A 25,670-nucleotide genomic window follows, 5' to 3' on the forward strand; every position below is an offset into this window, starting at 1 on the left:
CACAACTTGCCCTGGCCGTGCAGCTTAGGGCAGCTTCTCCTTTATTTACAATAGCTGCAGAGAAGGAAGAGCTTGAAACCCTTGGAGCTTGAGGTAAGGAATTCGGAATAGAGAAGATTCCAGAATTGAGGCTTGGTCTAGAGAGAGGGAGGCTAGGTGAAGAATATGCACGCCTGAGAGGTGGAAGGAGAATAAAGAAGAAAAAGCACAGGGATCAAGAGATAGGAAAAGAGGAAATCAAGGAAGAGAGGAGTTTGAGAGATATGAAGGAATGGCTAAAAGATAAAGAGGGCAACTCAAAGAGCAAAATGTAGAGAAATACTAGGTGGCTTCCAGAATTGTCATATAGGAAGAATTTGGGGGCAAAAATCTCATTGGTAGGGGGTTTAGGAGGCTTCTCTGAAAACTCCCTTTGCCACATGGTTTTTACATAGGTTGCATATTCACTGGAAATAGCTTGTGGGGGTGAGTGGCAGGTGATGCTAAGGATTAATGGGGGAAGGCTGATTCCTCTGCAAGCCACCCCTTGCCACTACTGCCACTAATGAACAACATTTGCAAAGTGCCTACTCTGTGCTGGAAAATATGAGTTTGAAGAAAATGAAACAGCAGAAAGTACACGGGGGGGAAAAAGGATAAGGCTCAAAGGCTGCAATAGATTAAATTGCCCTGGCAGGGCTGGTGATGGGGATTTTGTGCTCTGCAGCCCAAGGAGGACAAATGGACTAAATGAAGGTTCAGTATGGGAGACTACAAGTGGAGAACGGGTGTATATTTCAAAATCTTATTTTAGAGTACTATCAGGCCCACCTCCAACAGGGGGACCAGCTCTGAATTTAGAGTAGAGAACACCAAATGTGTCTGAATATGTGTATGTGTGTGTGTGTGTATGTTCATAGGGAGAAAAATTTCCTCTCCTGGAACACAGATGCATTACACATCTATGGATAACACATACGAATATGTGTGTATGAGAGAGATTATTCTCTCTCTTGTCCGGGTGTCAGTAGGTCTTCATTTGGCCGATGAAAGCCACCTTAATCCCAGCTCTCCTCCCTCTTTGAGCTACTTTCAAGTGTCTGCTCTGCTCTGTGGAAGAGGGGCCCTGATTGGGGATGTGTTTTTGTTTTCTGCGGTTCCTTTTTCCTCTGCCCCAACCTTAGCCTGAGCTGCTATTTTCTCAACAGCATCCAAAGGGGGAAGCAATCATTGGTTTGAGAAGAATCTCTGAGCCAATGAAATGTCAGCTCAGCTATTATTTCCAGGTGCCTAAAGGAGAATTATCCATAGATGGAGCAAAACCTCTGTTGACCAGAATATTTGAGGATGGGCAGATAATTACACAGCTTTCCGGTGAATCAGGGTTATAATTTTGATTCATTGTTGAAGTTCTCTCTAAAGTATGAAACCTCTTTCTTGTCTTAGAATGTAAGGCCCAGTGAAATGGATTCTGTGTTTGATGACTAAGGACCTTGCTTTCTAAATATCAGCCATAATATTTAGTCTTATAGAAAGTTGTATGGTGTAGCAGTTAGAACACCGAATTCTAGGAGTCAGAGGATGTGGGTTCCACTTTGAGTGCAGCCGCATATTAACAGGTGATTTTGGGCAGTGGTTTATCATTTCTGAGCCTCAATTTCCTCACCTGTAAAATGAAGTGGTGTTATTTTTATTTTATTTTGTTTTATTTTTGAGACAGAGCCTTGCTTTGTCGCCAGGCTGGAGTGCAGTGGCACAATCTCGGCTCACTGTAACCTCCGCCTCCTGGGTTCAAGCGATTCTCCTGCCTCAGCCTCCCGAGTAGCTGGGATTACAGGTGCCTGCCACCAGGCCTGGCTAATTTTTTGCATTTTTAGTAGAGACGGGTTTTCACCATGTTGGCCAGGATGGTCTCAATCTCTTGACCTCAGGTGATCTGCCCACCTCGGCCTCCCAAAGTGCTGGGATTACAGGCGTGAGCCACCACGCCCAGCCTGAAGTGGTGTTATTTTTATAAGATGGAGAAAGTATATGTAAAAATGTGGACTGAACTCAGACCATCTCTTGGAAATTACTTACTTGAATTATCTCCTTATGCAGGCTTACTTCATTATTCTTTGCCTCTTTCTCCAAACAGCTGAGTGAAGGAAAAAAGGTATATGATCAATCAATAGATCGAATACATTGGATTTTGTTGGCTGAAGTTTTATAATTTATCCCATTTCGTCACTAGAATCTTAACCACTGAGGACATGCTGTATCTGTCCAAACCATTCAGACCCCTTAGCTCCCGGTTGCAAACATGTCACCAATGCTTAGTCATATTTAGTAATGGTGCCAGTGCTGATGCCTTTGTCACCCTACTACTGGGCCAGGCTGTAGGCTCAGACAGGATCCTCACATTGATATCTCTGGACTAGCACAGTGCCTGGCATTCAGTGAGTGCTTAGTAAATGGTAGCTGCTATTTCTGGTATCATTATTCTTTTGGGCTACCCAGAAACTGAGGAAGACAGTGGAAATGAATGCAGAGTTTCCAATTCTCTTGCGATTGCCAGAGTTATATGCAGAATCATGGTGAGGAGAATGTTAGATCAGGAAGATACCTTACAGATGAAGAAGCTACAGCTGGACATTCCTAACTCAGGCCATATGCAAGAGGCAAGTACAACCACTCTCTCTTCAGAAAGGAAAAAGCTGAAGAAGTTTGTAGTCTCAGCTCAGTCCCTTCCCTCATCTCTTTCCCATCTGCCCGTTGGCTGGGATTACTTCACCTGGTTAGGCTGAGGGTTTGGGATAGAGGAAGGACCGGCCTCCAGGGTAGGATTCCAAGCCTAGGTGACTTGAGAGAACCTGGGGCCTTAAGAAAGGAAAGCAGGAATGAATGGGGAAGCCAAGCTAGAAGGACAGCCAGAGGGCATCTAGCTAGGGACTGGTACAAGGGGGTGGTAGTGGTAGCATATATGTCTCTTCTTAAAGATATCCAACTTATTCCCTAGTTTTGCCTAAGGATACTGGAGTTGTAGTGTGCTGGCCTTGCCCCAGGGAATCCCTTTGGTGCCCCAGGACACAGGAAGAGCCAGCTGGGTGCCCTAGGGCTGCTGGCATCCTGGCTCAGTGATTCTGCAGGCAGAGCTGAGCTGGTGGAAATGCAGGAGGGGGGCTGGGGGGTGGGGAGAACCTACTGCAGAGAGAACTGTTGGGGGAGAGGCCAGGCAACTGGCTCACCCAGGATGGGACTGTCATATAGAAATATTCCCATCTGGATAGTTCTAGAGAAGCAAGTCTGGGTAATGATAAACTATGAATTTTATGCATGAGCTGAACATTGAAAAACTTCAGCCCCAAGCTCCCGGCTAGCATCTGAGCCAAATCCCACTCGCACAGCATTTAATCAGCTTCCTGACAGATCCCAGTAAAAGGGAGATGAATTTACGAGATTGATTAGCTAATACCCAAGTGTTATGCTTACTCTGTGATCCAAGAGCACCAGGCTGGGACTCTAGACTTTCTGCTGCTGAGATTCTGCAGCTGCTGCGATGGTAGGTGGGCCTGGGGGTTGCCCCCTGGAGAGGGGGACTGAGTGAAGCTGTTCCAGCTCTCAGACTCCACAGCCCAGGAAACCCTCCAATCTAGGATGTGTCTGGGCCTTGGGAAAGAGTTATTCTCATCTTTGCCCTCCACCCCCTATTATGGCCTCAGCCAGTTTTATTACTCATCTCCATCTTATGCCAGAGATGCCCTCTCCTTGTCTCTACTAATCCAAAGCATGCCGGCCCTTCAAGACCCACCTAGATCCTCATCTCCTCCAGGAAGCCTCCTCTGGCTATCAGAATCCTCAGTAAGCTTTCCCTTCTCCCAACTCAGAAGGCTCTGTGTCATCTGAACAACAGATAATCACAGACTATGGTTAGAGCTAAATGAGAATTTAGCTAGTTCCATTCATTCTCATTTGTAAATGCTAGATTTATTTAACCACAAAAGTAATATATGCTTATTATAACAAGTCAAAAAATAGAGGGTTAGAGAAGTAATCTCCCTCTCAAGCCTCTCAAATCCCATCCTCTCAGAAAACCAGTATTGCAAGTCTCCATGTTGTGTCTCTATGATCATATGGACATTTATATACAGCCCCTTTGTTTTACATATAAGGAAACTGAGGCCCAGAGAGGTAAGGTGACTTTTCCAAGATAACACAGCTGACAAGTGGCTGAGCTGGAAGTAGGACCTAGATGTCAGGCTCCCAGTTCCCAGGCCAGTGCAGTTGTGGTTTAGTTGTCTCCTCAGAGAGTTTTGTCTCCCCAAGTGAATTGTAAACTCAACTGAGGGTTTAAAAGAAAAGAAAACCGTGTGTTCTCTCTTGCATTTTCCATAAAACCTAGCACAGTTTCAAGCATCTGGTCCAGGGTGTTTACTAAATGTTCGTCTCCTCGTTTTAAATCCTTTCTGAAACAAGACACAATATAAATAAAGAAAAAAAAAATGTTTGACTCCATGCCTGGTTTTGCTAGATTGTAAAGCCGAGCCATGCAATCATACAGAAATTGATTGTTAAGATGGCTGGGTAAAAAGCAGCCGAAAACTCAAGTGATTGGTGACCGTGTGCAGATATCTGGAGGCAGAGACAAATACAGAGACTAAGCAGCTCAAACATGTGAGGGGCTTGTGTTCTGTGCTAAGCTAACAGAGCTGAGAATCTGGTTTGGGGTGGGGTGGGGGTAGTGCTAGAGGTGGAGAATGAGGCTGCTCGGCACCCCACTAGGTTCTTTGGCACCTGTCTCTCCACCCCACCCCCGAACCAATGACCAAGTTGGCTGCTGCAGTCCTCCCTGTGCTGCTGAAGCCCCCCACTTGGCTGTGGCCAAGGACTTAAGGCTCCTCCATGCTTGAGTCTGGAGAACCTGTTTCGTGGCCTTTATACTTTTCTGTGGCATCACAGTGCTGGGATTTGTATGGATTTATTTGATGTATTTGTTTATTGCTAATCACTTGTAAGGATATAGGAGGCTGGGCTGGAATTAAGGAAGGCCATTGCTTCCACCCATAGGGATTGCCTCCCTGCCTTAGGGAGCTGGGAAGGTGTTGAGAGTGGCTCCTGGCCACATCAACTGCTCTGGAGGGGGAACCCTTTGGAAAATCATAAACATTAATTGAATTTTGAGCTGAAAAAAACTTTTAAGATCATCTAATAAGATTATTAATGCCTCACGTTTACATAGCACTTCATAGTATATGAAACAACTAAATGTGACTCATTCCCTTCATTTTAAGTGTAGAAACTTTTGTTTATTTAGGAAGACCCTGACAACTGGATAGTAGATTGCTGTGAATTTCTTAGGTGTGAGAATAGTATTGTGGTTATGTAGGAATGTTCTAATTTTTAGGAGATGACTGATGAAATATTTAGGGGCTGAAATATGATGTTTGAAACTTTAAAATGGTACAGCATTTAGATATAAATAGGGGCTGGGGGTGGGGAGCTATTGTTTAATGGGTACAGAGCTCCTGTTTGGGGTGATGACAAAGCTCTGGAGATGAATGGTGGTGATGGTTTCACAACATTGTGAAGGGACCTAATTCCACTGAATCATACACTTAACAATGGTTAGGATGGTAAATTTTATATTATGTATATTTTACCATGATTACACACACACACACACACACACACACACACAGAGAGAGAGAGAGGGTGCAAAACTGGCCAAAATTTTAATAAATGTTGAATTAAAAAGGTGATTACAAGGCTGGGCATGGTGGCTTATGCCTGTAATCCTAACACTTTGGGAGGCAGAGGCAGGAGGATTGCTTGAAGCCAAGAGTTCAAGACCAAAACCCTGTCTCATTTAAAAAAAAAAAAAAAACCATGATTATTGTATTGGTCTTAAGGATACTTTAGCTGCTGTGTATATTTGAAAATATTCATAATAAAATGTAGGGAAGAAAAGAAATTCTTAATGTGAGCAGGCTTCTGGAGAAATAGACACCAGGCTATCCATAGCAGCCAAAGATTGTACCAAAGATGAGTCGCAGGCTCTAAGAGCATGTGGAAGATTGGAGTGTGGTGATGGAGAGGAGGCAATAGATGAGTCCCTGTGCAGTTGAGCATTGTTGATCCATTGATAGGTAAAATGGCAAAGCTGAGCCAGTCGTCAACTCTGACTGATACTTGGGATGAGTGAAAGTTGTTACATGGAGGGTACTTAGGTCACAGCATAACATAGCTCACAGTTACGTGTTTCTCAAGGGCTCTGAGTTACTCAGAAGCTGACTATGCAGTTTCTGCCTCATACCTCCTATGGGCCATGGTGGTGATTGTGGTTTCTATGTGTGAATGAAGCAGAGAGACAGTCGTTGCTGGCTGGGTGCAGTGGCTCACTCCTATAATCCTAGAACTTTGGGAGGGCGAGGCAGGTGGATCACCTGAGGTCAGGAGTTTGAGACCAGCCTGGCCAACGTGGCAAAACCTGTCTCTACTGAAAATACAAAAATTAGCCAGATGTGGTGGCGGGTGCCTATAATCCCAGCTACTCAGGAGGCTGAGGCAGGAGAATTGCTTGAACCCGGGGGGCGGAGGTTGCAGTGAGCCAAGATCACACCACTAAACTCCAGCCTAGGCGAAAGTGAAACTCCGTCAAAAAAAAAAAAAAAGAAGAAAGAAAGAAAGAAGGAAAGAAAGAAAGGAAGGAAGGAAGGAAGGAAGGAAGGAAAGAAAGAAAGAAAGAAAGAAAGAAAGAAAGAAAGAAAGAAAGAAAGAAAGAAAGAAAGAAAGAAACAGACATTGCTGAAACTATCACCAGTTCATTTAGATTAGCTTTGTGCCACCCAGCTTTACTCTCGAAATCTCATCAAACTACACATCTTCTAGGTGGGGGTCAGAAGGGCTCTCTGAAAGGTGACCCAGAATGGCTTGATAGCCCAAGCTTGGGTGAGAGGAAATGTCAAAAGGACGGACCTGTGACTCAGTCACCCGGACCTCCCTGTGTGTGATCTGTTGGCCATTTGAGGCTTTGCTGATGAGGGAGAAGGGGAAGATCTGCTCCAGCACTAGGGCCCTCCAGATATTCTTGCCTGGAGTATAAAGGTGCCATCCATCTCAGTGCTGGCAGGGCCTGAGAGTGAGTTCAGCACCAACAAACAGAGTCATTAGGTTGGAGTCCAGCTCCCCAACCACATGATGAACTGTAATTTGTAGGGATCCCTTTGTCCCCAATGTTGCTTTGCTAGACCTGCCCACCAGGGACTCATCCTTCCTCAGCAGATAGGCTTTTGACCCTCCTAGTGCACAAGGAAGAGGGACAGGGACTTAATTTACATTTTCCCTTGGCCAGCATTTGCCTGGTGTCTACATTAATCACCATAAAGGATAAATGCCACAAAGAAAATGAAGAGAGAGGGAGAGAGAGAGCAAGAGAGAGGGAGAGCTAGCGCTTGGGCAAGCAGCGGGGCCTAATGGAAGGAAAGAAGCTGGTCTGGAGAAGAGCTGGTCAGAATGAATCCTTGGTGAGCCCTCACCTCAACTTCTGAATCTGTAGGACTTCACCCTTCTTGAAAATTAGATCTCTTTCTAAGTCATGTTTGAGAACCATGTTCCAAAATAATTGAGGCTGGGTCTAAAAGAAATCAGGCTGTAAGCAAGGGTTAATGCAGTGTAGTTATAACACATGAATGTAGGTGGGAGATTGGATAGACTAGGATAGGCTAGAATGTTAGAGATTATTTACTAGTTCAATTTCCTTCCTAATTTTGCACATAAGTAAACCGAGACTCAGTGAGGGGAAGGGACTTAACCAAGGCTACCCAGCTAATTAGTCCAGGTAGAGCCCCCAAGTCCCAGTCCAGTCCTTTTTTATAAATCATGAGATACATTGTGCTGGCAAGCAAAACCCCCGTGAGCTGAGAGGTTTTTTTGTTTGTTTGTTTTGTTTTTTTCTCTCAAACATCTTTGCAAGGCGGCACTGACTGAAACCCAGTCTTGGAAAAGGCTTTCCCCTCCTCCCCCCGGTCTTCCCACAGCAAGGTGGCCATGCTCTGGAGTCAGGCCAAGCTCCAGTAGGTCCTCACTCTCTCTCCAGCCTGCTCCCCCTCCTTCTCCTTTGTCAGCAGAGGCTTACTGGAAAGGCCATTCCAAAATGTAGATAATGTCAGTGAAGTGCTTGCTAGTAGGTAGCTGCTGGCTGAATAAAGGCTTGACCATCTCCCTTGGTCTCAGTCTGAAGCTCCTGATCTCAGTCTGTTACACCTGGCCCAACTCTTCTTACTTTTGACTTGGAGCCCAAGGGTCACCAGATTCTGCCTTGGGGCCCATGTTTTTCTTCACCCCAGCCTCCAGGGCCACATGATCCTCTGTTGGGTTGCTGGAGGGGAGGACTAAGGAGCAAACCTTGGGGCAGGAGGAATAGGGGCTCTTCAGAGTCACAAGACCCCAGAACAGGAAGGAACTTACTCCATATCCAATGTATATATAGGGAAATGGAGGATCACTATCACAATAATGTAGCTTAATTTTCATTTTAGAGCAGACTATGAGAGAGCAGAGTCACCAAAGAGTTTGCTTGAGTAGGAGTATCAACACTATTGAGCAGGGCAGTTAAGTGGCAGCTCTTGAAGAGGTAAGTGCAAGAGAGGTTGAAGGATGCAAAAGGCATGCATGATTTTCACAATAGAATAAAACACAGTAAAAACAGAAAGTTGCAAAGTTGTTGATGGGCAGAAGGAACAGGGCAGTTCTCAAAAAAACTCCCTCAAAAAGAAAAAGGCATCACTACCTCAACCCACTGGTCTGATGTCCCAGTCAGGCTCACCATTGTCTCCGTCTATAGACCCAGCTGTTTCCATGCTTTGGAACGAATGAGTATGGGATGCGAGCAAGGCATTGGCAGCTCAGTCTCTCTCAGCCTCAGTATGGAGTAGGAGGGGAGTTATTTGCTGCAGATAGGGCTACCATATATAGTTGTGCAGGCTGTGAACTGCATAAAGGTACTCAGCCAAGAGGGTTAAGTAGGAATGGAAATCCAGCCCATGTTCTGCTCCCCAAACCATGTTCCCTGGTGCAAGACTAAGTGGACCTGGATGAAGGGATACATTTTTCATCTGATAAAGCTATAGTGTTTGTGGGGCTGCATTCACCCAGAAGGAGTAACTTTTTCTGAGCTTTTTACACAAAGGCACTGAGTAGACTACTGCCATCAGCCAGTGCCCTATGGCAACCCATCCCTAGGCTCCTAACTTCCCCCACTGAGGCTCTTCCAGTGTACCCTGGACCCAGGCTGAGACCTTTTGTTCTTGGCAGCCACTTTCTGAGCACAAAAGCAGAAAATCCAGTGAGGCAGGTCTCTTGGGGTCTGGGGCTCACCCTCATGATGGCTCCCAGAATTCTGGGCTTTCTCAGCCCTGGATTTTCTGCCCTTGTGCTCTACCCACCTGTTTGGCTCAGCCACCACATCTTGGATGCTCGTTTTCTTCCTGGCAGAATGGTGCCAACTGTCTGTCTGCATCGTGACTCTGACTGCTGTGTCCCCTGTTTTCTGTGCTCTGCCCTCCCAGCTGCCCCTCTGTAATCAGCTGTCACAGCCAGAACACATCCTGGGTCTGTAGGGCCTAATGCGGGCGTGGGGTAGGGGTGGGGTTCGCTGAGCTCCCTCTCTTGCTCTCTGCCTGCCTATCTGGATGGAGGCCTCCTGTTGGTGCTTTTCACTGCAAAAGAACATATACACTGGGTGTGCAAGGGGGGTGACAGTGGCCAGGGGCTCTCAGCTGGAGAGCTTTGTTATGTCCACATAGTGCCCTATCAAGACCCCACCAGACACTCACTCACCCTCCCTGGGCTGCAGGGGAGGGGCTGTGGCAGGGCCAGGAACTGGCTGTAGAAACCCCCATGGGGTGGTGGGGGTGGGGAGTCAGGTGGGTCCTTGAGATCAGAGTAGCTCCTTCTGGCTACGCTCGAAGCCCACTGCCCCCACTTTCCTATAGCACAGGCCCAAAGCTTCCAAATGAGTTCACTGGGCCCTCCCAGGGGCTTGCGGATTATGGTGCCAGATGGGCCCAAGGCAAACTGCCCAACCCAGTGCTGCTGGGGAAGAAAGGGGCCTCCGGTCAGAACCAGCACTGGGCCAGGCAGCAGGGAGGTAACAGGGAGGGAGCTGGATTCCCTAACCCTCTTCTCTCTGAAAGGCTAGCGTCTTCTCAGCTGAGCTCCATCAAGTGAGGACTAGCAAAAGCCCTTGAATTAAGAAGAATGTGAATGGAACAGCTAAGCATTCTCCCTCTCTGCCTCCTCCCTCCTCCCCAAATCCCAGAAAGGGAGAGAGCAAGACAGTAGAAGAAGGGGCGGGGAAAGAAAGCAGAGGGCCTGCCATCAATCTCCTGCCCTGACAAGCTGCGTCATCGCTGGCTCCAGCTGGCTCCCCTGGGGCTAGGGGGAGGGGAGCCTGGTGTGGGTCTTAACTAGGAGGAGCAGGGGAAAAGAGAGATGAGAAGTAGTCCAGGTACTGGGTCTTAGAGCCAGGGCAGAAGGCTGAGGTGCCTATCCATGGATCGCCAAAAATAGAAAAGTCCAGTAACCTGGGGTCCTTTAGGGAGGGTACAGACCAGGGCAGGTCCAACTGGGAATAGATACTGGTCAGGCAGCCATGCTTTGTAGAGTCCAGCAATAGTCTCTGCTGCCTCTGAAGAATAGAAGCTGCTCGTTTTCCCCGTGCCTGCTTCAGCATCACCCTTCACCTCCAGGACTACTGACAGTTCAGTCAACCTCCCAGAGGTGGGTGTCAATCCCAAAGAATATGATTGGCTAATTGGGAAAGCCAAAGATCTGGTTGTGGCAAGATGCGAGACTTATGAAGGGAAGGGAACCCCAGATTCTGTTTGTTCTGTATCAGAAATGTCTGTTTCCTGGTTCTTCTGAACTCTCTTGGAAAGAACCGCATACCCTGAAAGAATGTTCCAATTTAGTCACGCCAGTGGGCTAGGCCAACCAAGTAACTTGGTAAGGGGGAAGGAAAGGGGAAGGCACACGAATGAAGTGAGCTTCTTGTGCATGGAGCTTGGGTTCCTCTGCTGGTGAGACAGTTCCTCAGGAAACTGATTTAGGACTGGGCGAGTCTTTGCAGGGACTGCAAAGACTGCAGGACTGTGCCTGTCAGGATTTTCTTTTCGGGAGAAGGGGTGGCTCTGGGGAAAAGATTGAGGCCAAGGAAAGAGTTCCCAAACAAGCATGTCCCAGCTACTGAGAAGGATCCTGGACCAAATTATGTTTCAGTTCTATTCAGATGTAGCAACAGTTTCAATTTTATTCAACCACGTTAGAAAATATGCAGGTTTCTTCCTGGGTTTAATTGGCTTCCTAGGTTTTAAAAAGCACCTCAGTGCTGTGTTCAATAAGATAGGTATCTGTGAAGTTCTAAAACGGTGTAACAAATTAACAGGTTTCATTCTGACTTAGAGCCTCATCTGATCAATTTTAGCTCCTGCCCCTGAGTAAATTATCTTGAGAAAGGGGAGCTGTGACCACCTGGTCCCTGCCAGTACCCTCTGAGGCCTCATTTTATCTCATCCCCTTAAGCCAGGCCATTACCCCAGTGCTGAGGGCAGGAGTGGAAGGAAGCAGGGATATAGGGAAAAGAGAACTGGTCCTTTTTGCTTGGTCCCATCCCACTTAATAGCTTTCCCACTGAAGAGCATTCATTTGTCACCTTTAGTTCCAGGGGGTAAGGCAGGATGATCCATCCCTCAGGCACCAGCCTATAAAAACCAGGGAATTGGCACCTGCAATCGGCCATTCTCTGCCTTTGTCTTCTCTGGCCGCGACTAAACTGCTGCTAAAATGCTGACTCCTGCCTTGTCCATGACGGAGTGAGCTTTTAACTGGTAGCTTGGCCTATCAAGCTTACTTTATTCAAGCTGCATAAAATGCTGGAAAAGTAAAGAGCTAGGAGGGACTGTGGAGGATTGGGGAGGAAGACACGGTTGGATGTGAAAAGAGCCCTGGAGGCCTGGGACACGCCTGACCCTTTCCTGGGTGCCATCTCCAGTGATCCCAGAAGAATGGGCTCAACTGTTCCAGATATTTCTCAGACTTACATCTTCAGTAATCAGCTTCATGGTTATCTACCCACATGGTGTGCTTTGAGGATCTCCACAGGTCCCTTCTGACCACAAAATATTTTCTCCATGCTTTGCCAAGATCCCTGAAAATTATTGCGTTGGGTCAAGGCATTGTCCTCCAAAGACCTTTGTTAAAATGTACATTTTTTAATTTACATCCATATTTTTTCTGAAGGTTTTATATTTTAGCTGTTATATTTAGGTCTTTGGTCCATTTTGGATTGAGCTTTGTATATGGGATAAAGGAAGGGTCCAACTTTTTCTTTGCACGTGGATATCCAGTTGTCCCAGTACCATTTGTTGAAGAGATTATTCTTTTGCCATTGAAAGTTCCTGCCACACTTGTCAAAGAATCGATTGACTGTAGATAAATGGGTTTATTTGTAGATGCTCATTCTTGCATATGTCCATTCTTATGCCTGTACCACAGTGTTTTTATTAGTGCAACTTTGTAGTAAGTTTTGAAATCTCTATTCCTTAAGAGGATGTGGTCATCTTGTGTTTTGACAGAGATTTCCTTGAATACCAAGAGCTCAAAAAAGAAATAAGTAAAAACTCTCAGTCTTTGAAAAAAAAAAGTACATTTTTGTTTTGTCTAAGGAAAGTTTTCATATAGCAGATTCACTGGGTTTTACCTGTCAAAGAGTAGGCTCACTGAGAAATGGGATCTAGGGCCGGGCATTGTGGCTCACACCTGTAATCCCAGCACTTTGGGAGGCTGAGGTGGGCGGATCACCTGAGGTCAGGAGTTCGAGACCAGCCTAGCCAACATAGTGAAACCCCATCTCTACTAAAAATACAAAAAAAAAAAAAAATAACTGAGCGTGGTGGCGGGCGCCTGTAATCCCAGTTTCTTGGGAGGCTGAGGCAGGAGAATTGCTTGAACCCTGGAGGTGGAGGTTACAGTGAGCTGAGATCGCACCGCTGCACTCCAGCCTGGGCAACAGAGCAAGACTCCATCTCAAAAAAATTTTTAAAAAATGAAAAAATAATTATCAAAAAGAAATGGGATCCAGGGAAAATAATGCTTGGTAAGAATGAAAGATAAGAGATGTTTGCAATGCAACATGGTGAGGCATAATGGGTTGAGTTGGAAGTCATAATTGCTTGGGTTGGGAGGCATTATGGACAGCCAAGAGGGAAGTCAGAGGTGAATGGCATCAGTTATGCCTGTAGTCTGGATATTCTCATGGTCTCCCCTGCCCTTCACATTGAGATAAGTTTCCTTCAAAATCCATGCTTTCCTAGATCTCTGCATTCCCAGGGAGGGCTTCCATTCTCCTTGCCCCCAACCCCACCACAGGCTTATTTATGGTTCTCTGAAAAGAAAGAGTTCCACGGAGACCAGAGTTTCTAAACTTCCACTTGAATATTGATGCCAGGCCCCATCCCACACCAGTTACACCAGAATCTCTGTGGGGACTCCCTGGGGGCATCCCCAGGTTTTAAATGCTTCCTGAGGTGATTCTAATGTGTAGCCAGAGTTAAGAAGTGCCGGTTGTCCATTTGTTTGTATCTTTTCATGTCACCCAAAACGTGGAGCTTCACTCTCTTCCTTAATCTCACCCGAATAACCATTCACCCAAGGAAATGTGTGTAGAAGGCTTAGGAGTGACAAAAGGATTTTCCTCGCAGCAGCACAAACAACTGAACATTTAAAGTTAGCAATCCTGGGCTGAAGAAGTCCCTTGGTCATTTTCTCAGTCAGGCTCTAGGCTCACACCCAGTGCCTCATTTCCCCTTTCTCCTCCTTCTCCTCCTCTCCTCTCTGCTCTCTCTGCAATCTCTGAGTCCTGTTTAATGTTACCACACAGCGTTAAGCTCTTTCCTCCGTTGCCTTGGCTCCTGCCTACCCATGCTGTCAAGGCAAGCAGCTTATCAAAACCTTTTCCTAAAGACAGTCCCAGTTCCCTCCCTAAGAAGGATTCTGGTGCCAGCTGGTAAGATGATTGAAATTTCACCCCAGATCCACATGGTTTTGACAAGGACCCTGAATGGCCTCATCATTATGTCTCCACTTGCTCTGAGAACCATCACAGCCGCATGCTCTGCTATTTCCGTCCAAAGAACCAGGGCCCAGATCTTGCAGGGGAGGCCCAAAGTTGGCAAAGCATTTGGAAAGTGACTGTCTGTGTATCCACTTGAGGGAGTCTTTGTGTACTTGTGGGTGTTTAGCCCTTATGGCTAATATTCAAATTTGGCCCATTTGCAGACTGACAGGACTTTCCCAAGTGCAGAGAAAAACATCCTTGATTCATGGCCTAAAACAATATAGAGACACCGTTACCACAAAAGTATTTTGAGATGAAAATGTGACGTTTTCTTCAGTGGATATGTACTGTGCATCATCATATGCCAGCCACTGGGCTAGGTGTTTTGGATTTGATTGCAACCCGGCACTTTCAGTCCAGTGGGTTTTATTAATGTGCTTTTTAAACTCCTCTTCTTGAACTAAAAAGCATTCTCTGAGGGGCAAAAAAACAAACAAACAAACAAACAAAAAAACACTTTAAGTCCTGAATCAAGAACTTCTTTTTTTTAATTTTATTTTATTATTATTATACTTTAAGTTTTAGGGTACATGTGCACAACGCGCAGGTTTGTTACATATGTATACATGTGCCATGTTGGTGTGCTGCACCCATTAACTCGTCATTTAGCATTAGGTATATCTCCTAATGCTATCCCTCCCCCCTCCCCCCACCCCACAACAGTCCCCGGAGTGTGATGTTCCCCTTCCTGTGTCCATGTGTTCTCGTTGTTCAATTCCCACCTATGAGTGAGAACATGTGGTGTTTGGTTTTTTGTCCTTGCGATAGTTTGCTGACAATGATGGTTTCCAGTTTCATCCATGTCCCTACAAAGGACGTGAACTCTTCATTTTTTATGGCTGCATAGTATTCCATGGTGTATATGTGCCACATTTTCTTAATCCAGTCTATCGTTGTTGGACATTTGGGTTGGTTCCAAGTCTTTGCTATTGTGAATAGTGCCGCAATAAACATACGTGTGCATGTGTCTTTATAGCAGCATGTTTTATAATCCTCTTGGTATATACCCAGTAATGGGATGGCTGGGTCAAATGGTATTTCTAGTTCTAGATCCCTGAGGAATCGCCACACTGACTTCCACAATGGTTGAAAGAGTTTACAGTCCCACCAACAGTGTAAAAGTGTTCCTATTTCTCCACATCCCCTCCAGCACCTGTTGTTTCCTGACTTTTTAATGATCGCCATTCTAACTGGTGTGAGATGGTATCTCATTGTGGTTTTGATTTGCATTTCTCTGATGGCCAGTGATGTTGAGCATTTTTTTCATGTGTTTTTTGGCTGCATAAATGTCTTCTTTTGAGAAGTGTCTGTTCATATCCTTTGCCCACTTTTTGATGGGGTTATTTGTTTTTTTCTTGTAAATTTCTTTGAGTTCATTGTAGATTCTGGATATTAGCCCTTTGTCAGACGAGTAGGTTGCATAAATTTTCTCCCATTTTGTGGGTTGCCTGTTCACTCTGATGGTAGTTTCTTTTGCTGTGCAGAAGCTCTTTAGTTTAATTAGATCCCATTTGTCAATTTTGGCTTTTGTTGCCATTGCTTTTGGTGTTTTAGACATGAAGTCCTTGCCCATGCCTATATCCTGAATGGTATTGCCTAGGTTTTCTTCTAGGGTTTTTATGGTTTTAGGTCTAACATGTAAGTCTTTAATCCATCTTGAATTAATTTTTGTATAAGGTGTAAGGAAGGGATCCAGTTTCAGCTTTCTACATATGGCCAGCCAGTTTTCCCAGCACTGTTTATTAAATAGGGAATCCTTTCCCCATTTCTTGTTTTTGTCAGGTTTGTCAAAGATCAGATGGTTGTAGATATGCGGCATTATTTCTGAGGGCTCTGTTCTGTTCCATTGATCTATATCTCTGTTTTGGTAGCACTACCATGCTGTTTTGGTTACTGTAGCCTTGTAGTATAGTTTGAAGTTGGGTAGTGTGATGCCTCCAGCTTTGTTCTTTTGGCTTAGGATTGACTTGGCAGTGCAGGCTCTTTTTTGGTTCCATATGAACTTTAAAGTAGTTTTTTCCAATTCTGTGAAGAAAGTCATTGGTAGCTTGATGGGGATGCATTGAATCTATAAATTGCCTTGGGCAGTATGGCCATTTTCACGATATTGATTCTTCCTACCCATGAGCATGGAATGTTCTTCCATTTGTTTGTATCCTCTTTTATTTCATTGAGCAGTGGTTTGTAGTTCTCCTTGAAGAGGTCCTTCACATCCCTTGTAAGTTGGATTCCTAGGTATTTTATTCTCTTTGAAGCAATTGTGAATGGGAGTTCACTCATGATTTGGCTCTCTGTTTGTCTGTTATTGGTGTATAAGAATGCTTGTGCTGAATCAAGAACTTCTGTACACTGGAAAGTCTCTTCTGAAAACAGGTGGGTTTCTTTTTGTGGGCCTGAATACGTTATTTCCCTGTGTGTGTGAAATGGTAACGTGTGGAAAGGTGTGTGGTATGTACATAAGCCTTTCATGGGCCTGTCCATGATTTTCAAATTGGACTGTGAGGGCACTTTTACTCCTGAAACTTTCCTTCCTGGAGCTCTCTCAAGTTCTCAGATGCTGGATGACTAGCTAGCTGGTTGATAGCTTTTGGTGTTTACAGTGCACCAAGCACTGGGCTTTGCTACCTCACATACATCATCTCATTTCATCCTCACAGCGGTGAGGTAGATGGTGTTATCATCTGCATTTTACAACTGCGAAAACTGACCACCTACTATTGGGTAGTAGAGTCAGGATTGAAACCCACGACTATCTGACCCCAGAACCTTTCAAATTACATCATCTCCTGATGCCAACCTCCAAAGCAGAGCTGAGGGAAAGCAAGCTCCCTTATCATCAATAACAGCAACATCATCACTGTTGTCGTGCTTGTTGTCATAATGTCATCATATCAGCTGTCATTTGTGAAGCACTTTCTTTGTGCTAAGCACTGTACTAAAATGCTTTTAATAATAATAAATAGTATTAATAGCCATTAGTAATTACTGAGTTCTTATTATATGTCAGGTATGGTCCTAAACCTCTTCCAGGGATTACATTAATCATTCCTCACCATGTTGCTATGAGATAGATACTATTCTTAGCCCTATTTTAGAGAAGAGAAGACTGAGGTTTCAAATGGTTAATTACCCCATGACCTCACAGCTAGTGAGTAGCAGAGCTGGGATATGACCTCTGTCTGACACCAGAACCTTCTGTGTTGTACTACCTCTCGTATTAGGGGCTCTGCCTACAAAGAGGTTTCTGTCTTTCCCTTTTTACACTTTTGGGAGCACTGTCTGCCACTGGCTTCTGATAATCGGAGAGCTCTCTCGGACCCATCTGCTAACTGGATAGGGGCTGGAGTGGCGGGCCACCATGGGCATGAGCAAATGCCCTCCTGAAGAACTGACAACCCAGACCCTTTCCATCTGGCAGCCAATGCAATGAGAATAAGGAATCTGCCCAGAGAGGGCCTCCTGGCCAAACAATTTGTACAGCAAAACAAATACAGTAGCTGAAACCTGTATAGGTGGAGACCAGGTAAACAAGATGACTCTTCCCTTCGTGGTTTTTTTCCTCCTCATTTGATAGAGTAGGACTTTACAGAGTAATTGTTCTCTCCTCATTACACCCCCGAGACACCCTGCCCACTGACATCCCTTGCTGATGCCTCCTTCTTTCTCCTCACCCCAGCTAACCTGAGTCCCTTACCTCCTGTCTAATTTCAGTATCATTTGCTCATTGTCTTGTTTCATACCTCCTTTGAAAATGCCAGGCTCCTCTCTGCTCCAAATCTCTTCCTTTTTTCCCTGCTTTCATTTCAGTTCAAGCCACATTAAGGTTGTAAAGCACTTTGGAAAGTAGTGAATGTGGCAGGATAGTAAGTAGAGTTTTATGATATTTTGCTGTCATTGAGCTTGGAGTCTTTGAAAACCAATGGCAATTCACAGCCCTCGCATCCCTATGTCTCTGCAGAGCTATTAACTAGCTGTAGATGAGGTCTATGGCCATGACCCAAAATGTACATTTCTCAGATGATGCAAAGTCACTCCAGGTAGAGTAGTATTAGCTTGATTAGCATTTCCCAAATTGGCTTTCATGGTACCCTGAGTGTGAGAGATTAATAGGTACCATGGGGAAAAAAGGGTTTCTGGGTACCAATGAGTTTGATGAATGCTGGGTTAGATAAGCTAAACTTTACTGCAGAGCCCTTAATAGTCTAATGAGGATCATGAATATCCAAGAAGACATTTCGAGCCTTGCCAAAGTGTGGTCTGAGGATGGCAACATAGGCATCACCTGGGACCTTGCTAAAAATGCAGAATCTCAGGCCTCTACCTCAGAGGTTCCAAGTCAAAATTGGCATGGTAACAACATCCTCAGGTGATTTGTATACACATTAAATTTCGAGAAGCACTGATTTAGAGTACATCACATTTCTCAAACGTTTTTGCCCATGGATCCCTCTTATGAAGACTAGTGTTCCCTGGAACACACTTTGGGGAAATACCACAGCTAGAAACCCTTTCATGGGAGTTTTCATTGTTTGGAGACTATAGAAAGACACTAGCAGCAGGGCATGGTGGCTTACTCCTGTAATCCCAGCACTTTGGGAGACCAAGGCAGGAGGATGGCTTGAGCCCAGGAGTTTGAGACCAGCCTGGGAAACATAATGAGACTCCCATCTCTACAATAATAACAAAAAATTAGCCTGGTCTGGTGGTGCATGCTTGTAGTCCCAGCTGCTGGGAAGGCTGAGGCGGGAGGATTGCTTGAGCCAGGAAGGTTAAGGCTATAGAGAGCTGTGATTGTATCAATGCACTCCAACCTGGGTGACAAAGCGAGACCCTGTCAAAAAAAAAAAAAAAAAAAAAAAGACACTAGCCGAAGCAACATTTAGAAATTGGGGAACTGATTCATTATATGTTACCCAGAGACTCATTTTACAGAAGTTTCAAGTCTTCTGAATCTTGTATTACCAGAAAGTCTTCCCATACCCTCTTGCTCCCAATTAACTCATTTCCTGGGGCATTTTAAAGCAGTGTCATGTCTGTGCTTCCTGGTCTGTTCTCTGGTCTGGATTAACCTGTTTGTTTCTTAAACCCAGCAGCTTCTCCAGAGTGCTAAAGCTCAGGATTTGAGCAGCCAAAGAATATTGCAAGATCTCCTGCTGTAGAACATTAGAAAGGCAGTTTTATAGAAACTGGGCAACTTTTCAGTCCAGTGTGTTCTGTTCGGTTAAGCTGTAATTGTTTTTCTTTTAGGCCTTTAAGCTATTGTGCCAAACATCAAAATAACGTTAGCTATTTTTTATTCAGATCTTGCGACTCATTTGGGGGCATTGTTAATATTTTATAAGAAAATTTTCATTTTTTCCATTCACATTTGTGATTTTCAAGTGTGTTGCTGCATTGCATTCATAAATATGATTTTTATTAAGTCTCAGGGCCCCATTTTTTTGCCCTTGGAGAAACACATCTCCAATTATATGTTAAAAGTTAAATGGAAAATAGTCTTTGATATGTGAAAATTTGATTTGCAAGAAACTTGTCCAGGATGCATCCATTCTGTACAGTAAGGTGCTCTTGTGACCAAGCTCTGCCATGCACAAGCTCAAGAAAGCTCTCAGAAAGGTTTCTTGGAGATTGTCACCACACACCTTCTCAGTGGCCACTCTCTGTGGTTGGCCAGGATCATCCGTTCAGAGTGCAGGCAGAAGAGGAAGATGAGCCAGCAGGAGGGTACCTAGAGATATGTGAAAGTGAGGAAGACTACACCATTAGGCCCCTAGGGCTGGAAGGTCTACCAGTCCCAGAGGTTGCCTGCTATGCATTTATGCATTTGGAACAGTGATTCTTACCTCTCCTACATTCCCATCGGAGCAGAAGCAACAAAGTATAGGGGGAAGAGACTATGTAAATACTTTCCTTGAGCTGGATATGGTGAGCCAAGCCTTCACTTGAATTTCCTACCTGTTCAGTGATGCTGGAAATGATACCACTCAGAGGCCCAATCAGCTTGAAGCTAAATGCAAACCCACCTAGAAAAGGCAACCATTGATGCCAATGGTTTCTAACCTTTCTAAGTATCAAAATCCATTTGTAATGTTAAACATTTAGGACACTTCCCACAATAATGATTCTACTTGATTTTTTTTCTGTCTACTGACAATCCACAATTGGCGTGTTCAAGAATTTTCCTTATACAAAATCCACAGGCTTTTCGGGGGACTGAAGGTGCACAGATTGTTCTCTATAACTCATGCTTGGGTGTAGATGAGTAATAGCTATAATTTCTTGAGCAGTTATTAAGTGCTGGGTACTGGGCTTAGCACTTTACATACATTACCTCAATCCTCACAATACTTTATTATTTCCATTTTACAGACAAGGAAATTGAGGCTCAGAAAAGTAGATGATGTGCCTACCCAAAGAAAGTCACAGAGCTAATAAGTAGTGGAAACTGGAAGCAAGCCCAGATCTGTGGAACTCCCAATTGTACTCTTTATTCCTTAGGCTGGGGACTGGCTGTGATGGCAGAGAGCACTGCAGAGGCCCTGAATTCTGAGGAGGCAAATTGGCTCCTAGAGAGACAAAAAGGAAGGACTAGGGGGTTGAGGATCAACAGGCATGCACATTTGCCTCATAATTTCACCTAAGACTAGTCCAGCAAGCAAGTGTCGTTAAGGTGGGCCTCATAGCCCACTTGGAAATCTAATGACACAGCCTACTGCTGAATCGCTACACACACAACCATTCACATACATTGTCACAGACAAACTCTTTCAGCAACACTGGACTTCTTCACAGTCCTTGGTCTCCCCAGGCACATTCCATCTCTGGACCTTTGCACGTGCTACTCCTTGTGCCTGACAGGCTCTTGCCCCAGAGATCAACATGGCTGGCTCCCTCTCTTCTTCAGCTCTTTGCTCAGTCATCACTTTCTCAGTGGGGCCTTTCCTGACCACCTTTTTAAATATTGCAGCCAATCATCTCCAAACCTGTACCCTCTTTCCTTGCTGTATTTTTTCCAAACCACTTATTCTCTGAACTGTCTCATAATTTTGCCCATTTATTTTTTTACTGTCTGTGTCTTCTCACTAGAATGCAAGCTCCATTAGGACAGGAATGTTTTTTAAAATCTATTTTGTTCACTGAGTATCCCTAATGTATAGAACTGTTTGGCACATCATAAGATCTCAGTAAATATTTGCATGACAAGTGACTGAATATGCAGATAGCTGTAGACATGGCTTCCTACTCCTGCCGTATATACAGAGACACATGGGGCCTTTGAGATAACATAGAAGATGAGCAGATAAGAGGAATGAATGTGTGACTTCATGGGTAAGAAGACATAGGGTGGGCATACTGTATGCACAAAATGTTCCTGGTTCTCAATCCAGCCAAAGCCACGGACCCATAATCTGGATTACTCTTCACAGCAACTTTACTCTTAGTAAACACATAATGACCACAAACTAATATGAATGCAGTGATATTTTAAAATAGAAATGTATTTTTTAAACATTATGACATCTGCCTAAAGTTTGGTAAATAGTGATACATACATGTGTGAGATGTTTCAGGATAGCACTTAAATGCCCGGTCTCTGGCATCTGTCAGCTAGGAGTTTGATTTCCAGTGTTGCCTCTTCCTTGTGTGATCTTTAGCAAGTTTCTTAAACCTTTGCCTCAGTGTCCTTGTCTGCAAAAGGGGGCTAATGATAGTATCAAGCTGACAGAGTTGTGAAGATTCAGTGAGATACTTCATGTAGAGCTCATGTAAAGTGACTGACCTGTAAATGCTCCCCAAATGGAAGCTGTTCTCATCATCGTCATCATTATTGTGGGTTATTATTTGAGACCACAGACAATGCTTCCAGGTGTATGGATTTGCATCCCTCTTGCAGTACTGTGTACTCTGCAGTCCCTGGGGTCCTTGGCTTATACTTCTGGGAGATGGTGCCACAGACATTAAGTGTTGCTGGGAGTCAAAGAAGGTGGGTTGGAGCCTGGGTACATAGGGGCCTGGGCATGGTGAGAATGGGAAGGTAGACAAGAGTTGAGAGTGGCCATAGGCAGCAACTTGGAATGACGGCTCCATGTACACATTCAGAGAAGAAGCCAGCAGCTGCATGGGAGGCCTTCTAACACTTTTGAAATCCTGATTTAGCTAAAGGTTAGTCAGGAAGACAGATAAAGATAGTTATTACCTAATGGCTCTAAAGTTTCAAGTGTTTTATCACCTCTGAGTGTTAGCTTTTTAAGCATGGTAAAGCCACTGTGATCACCACTGTGTCTGACTGTGCATTCCAGAAAGCGCTCTGAGTTCTAGGTGGTAACCTGTTAGTGGGGGCTTTGGGTCTGGGTGACTTGAACAGTTTCTCTGCAGTATTTCCATGCACAGAGAGCTCCGCAGCTCTCCCCTACCCTCAGTGAAGACTCAACAAAGCTGTTCTATGGGGCTGCAGCTGAAAAAGCCACAGCCACCTGAGGTCCTGGGGAGAGCTGAGCTGGGCAACAGCAGTGGGTTGCCAGTGGGCAAGAATGATCTCCTCTCTGGCACTTCATTGCTGTGCCCTGCAGAGCAGGAAACACAGGGTGGATTTACCAGGGAGTTCAGCGAGCCCTGGTGGTTTAAGAGATCAAACAAGAATGAGGTCAAGGATGGAGCTCAGTGTGGGAGTGGGAGGAGGAGTGGCCACCCCCTGAGGCTACACATTATTAGACAGGAACCAGTCCACCCGCAGAGAGAGCACACAAGCTGTGCCCATAGGCTGATTGATTTGATGAGGGAGTTGAGTACGTTCTGTGATTTTTGCTCAAAATGGGCAACAGAGCCAATTAAACTTCACCTTCCCAGGGAAGAAACTGGGAACCCCAGCTTTTGGTTTTATTTTAGGAAGCTGATCTTTCTGGAAAAGATAAAAAATTCTAGTGGCACTTGGCAGTATGCCACAAAGAGGCTGCTTCTTCCTGACCTTCAGGTGGAAAACCCAAATTCTTGTCCAAGTAAGGAGTTTTCATGCTCAATCCATGGACCTTAAAGAAATAGCTGTCAGACCTGTGCAAATTGGCTGGGGCCCCCTCCCCATTTCTCCTGGAAGCCTTGACTCCATTCTCATTGCCCTGCAGCAGACCATTTGTAACTGTCCAGTACCTTTCCAGGCCTGATGGGGAGTTCTGCTCAGGGGCCTCATTTGCATAGACGAATGCAGACTGGCATCTGTCAGCTTAGCACCTCAAGCCAATGATCTGGAGTGGCGATGGGCAACCTTCTGGGCAAATATCCTGGATATTGGATTCAAAAATGACAGTGTCAAACTGGGGCTAGTTTGCATAGGCTTATTAGGTTAATTACTACAGTGTCTCCAAGAACTTAAAAATCCTTGAATTCTTACAACCAGAATGCTCAGTCTGTTGCTATGAAACTTGGAGTGTAAATTACCATGAATACCATTAATCTGTTCACTAGGAGATTAATTTGCAATTTGTTGGCAAATCACATGTGGGTCTTGTAGCAAGAGCGTGGGTGGTGTTTTCGTGCCAACGTGTGGCCCTGCCTGTGTTTCTGGATGTGTGTGTGTGTGCATGCACGTGCATGTGGCATTGGGATTGTCACTCTATGGGAACTCATGTCCTGGGTTTTCTCACTGCTCCCCGATCTTACCTGGCTCCCCTAGCATACCCTGGGTCCTTGGTCACATTCTCATAGTTGGAGGCTGCTATCAGAACACTTCTCGGCTCAGTGCCAGCCAGTTTAAGAGACATTAGCTCTTTCTGAAACAGGATTGCAAAGGTGTCCACTAATGCCTTAGAATCATCCGGCTTTTCAAAAAGATGCACTTTCCTGTTAATGGCTCTCAAGTTGTTTTTGCACGCAGGCAGGCTGCTCCTGGCAAAGGAATTCAGATCGCCTGAAGGAAACATGACAGGGAAGGTGCCATGACATAGGAGATGGTGACCAGGACCACATTAGGTAGCAGTGGAAGGAGAAAGACTGCTAAGCAGGGCTGAGGGGCTTCCATGGCTACCCTGTGTTGTTGTTAACAGAGGTGGCAGGATTGCTGATACAAATCTCACCCATCTGTTTTAGCCTAGTCTTCCACACAAGACTGGTACTTACAACGACTTGAAGAAAATCCTCTCCTAATTTAGGGGGCAGACTGTGGGATGTGACTGAAGGAGCACTGGAACCTCACTCACCCAGAAATAGCTCCCCAACTAGCATCCCAATGCTGGAAATCCCCTTCAGATAGAGGCATTGGAGATCCAGATATTTTGGGAAGGAAGACCTAGTGAGAGAGTAGAGCTCAAGGGAATGGGGACATAAAACATCATTTTGATGCTCAGGAGGATCCCCAAGAAATTCTCAGTGCTTTGGGGACACCCTGCAAAGCCTGGGGAATGAGGAGCGCATGGATCCATCACAATGAGAGGCTGTCCAAAGGAGAAGGGGCATGCTGAAAGTGGGAAAAGGCTCTGCAAATGGTCACGTCCACCTATTCTACAGGAGAGACTTAGAACAGGTGCAGGAGGAGTGCAGAGAATCTATGACGTTAGTTTGAAGAACTTGGGGTGCCAGACAGAAGCAGAATTAGGAGGTTTGCTGGGAGCCAGAGAGACCCCAACCAAAATGTGGCTGCTAGGGTGTCATCTTGAACCTTTCTCTTCCCCACACATCCCTCTCCCCTCCGGTTCATTCAAAGAGCACTTATCGAGTACCTATTCCTGTGCCAGGGATACAGTGAACAAGACATATGTCCCACTAAAAAAAAAAAGAAAAAAGACATATGTCCCACCCTGTCCTCAACAAACTCACATTCTAGTGGAAGGTAGCCTTTAAAATTAACTCTGCCTAAGGAGGCAGATGAGGTTCAGATAGGGTTTCGCAGATAAGGTGACTCTTGAGCTAAGTCCGGAAGGATAAGTAGGAGATTGCCAGGTAAACAAGGTAGCAGAGGGCATTCTGGGTAAAGAAACAGCAAGTGTGAAAGTATGGAAGTATGAAAGCCTGGTATGGTCCCCATGAGAAAGGCAAGACTACCTTCTCTCTAGAGTACGAAATGCCATCCTCTTAATAAAATGTCACCCAGAACCTCCATGATTGGCTCTAGAAGGAGTCTGTTTCAGTGGGAAAAAGCATCCATAATATTCCTGTTTCCCCATAATAGTGACTCATCATGGGAGTCCATTAATAATCCACAGTATCATTTAGATCCGGCTGAAACTTTCAGACAAAACCATATGTTAAAGGCTAAGGGATGACAAAAGGGAAATCAACATGGCATTTAATAATAATAAAAATAGCTAACATTTGTTAAGCACTTCCTCTGAGCCAGGCATGATTCTAAATATACATGTATGTGTACATATACTCATTTAACCCTCATAATAACCATAAAGTAGACATAGTGCTGTTATTGTTACTATGCCTGTTTTACAGATGAGGACCAGGAAGCCAGACTAGACAATTGGTCTTAGAAAGTGTAGTTCAGTTATCTTCTACTGCTGAGGTCCTCTGGGAACCTATTCCTCCCTCCCAACTCTGGGCC

The 25,670-nt window shown here is 45.0% G+C and overlaps 1 protein-coding gene across 2 annotated transcripts in view, besides 1 other annotated feature; it reads left to right on the forward strand.

Moving 5' to 3' along the window:
• FRMPD3 (FERM and PDZ domain containing 3) overlaps window positions 1-25,670 on the forward strand; it is a 155,600-nt gene that overhangs the window by 24,559 nt on the left and 105,371 nt on the right. The gene's annotated exons all lie outside the window — the stretch shown is intronic.
• Window positions 9,865-10,423: an enhancer, noted in NCBI's record as "H3K4me1 hESC enhancer chrX:106727305-106727863 (GRCh37/hg19 assembly coordinates)". NCBI's record gives its function as "activates a minimal SCP1, AML or CMV promoter by ChIP-STARR-seq in primed H9 embryonic stem cells {active_cell/tissue: H9 hESC(primed)}" and the evidence as "EXISTENCE:reporter gene assay evidence [ECO:0000049][PMID:30033119]".

This window comes from Homo sapiens, chromosome X (genome assembly GCF_000001405.40).
Source record: "Homo sapiens chromosome X, GRCh38.p14 Primary Assembly".
Classification (NCBI taxonomy): domain Eukaryota; kingdom Metazoa; phylum Chordata; class Mammalia; order Primates; family Hominidae; genus Homo; species Homo sapiens.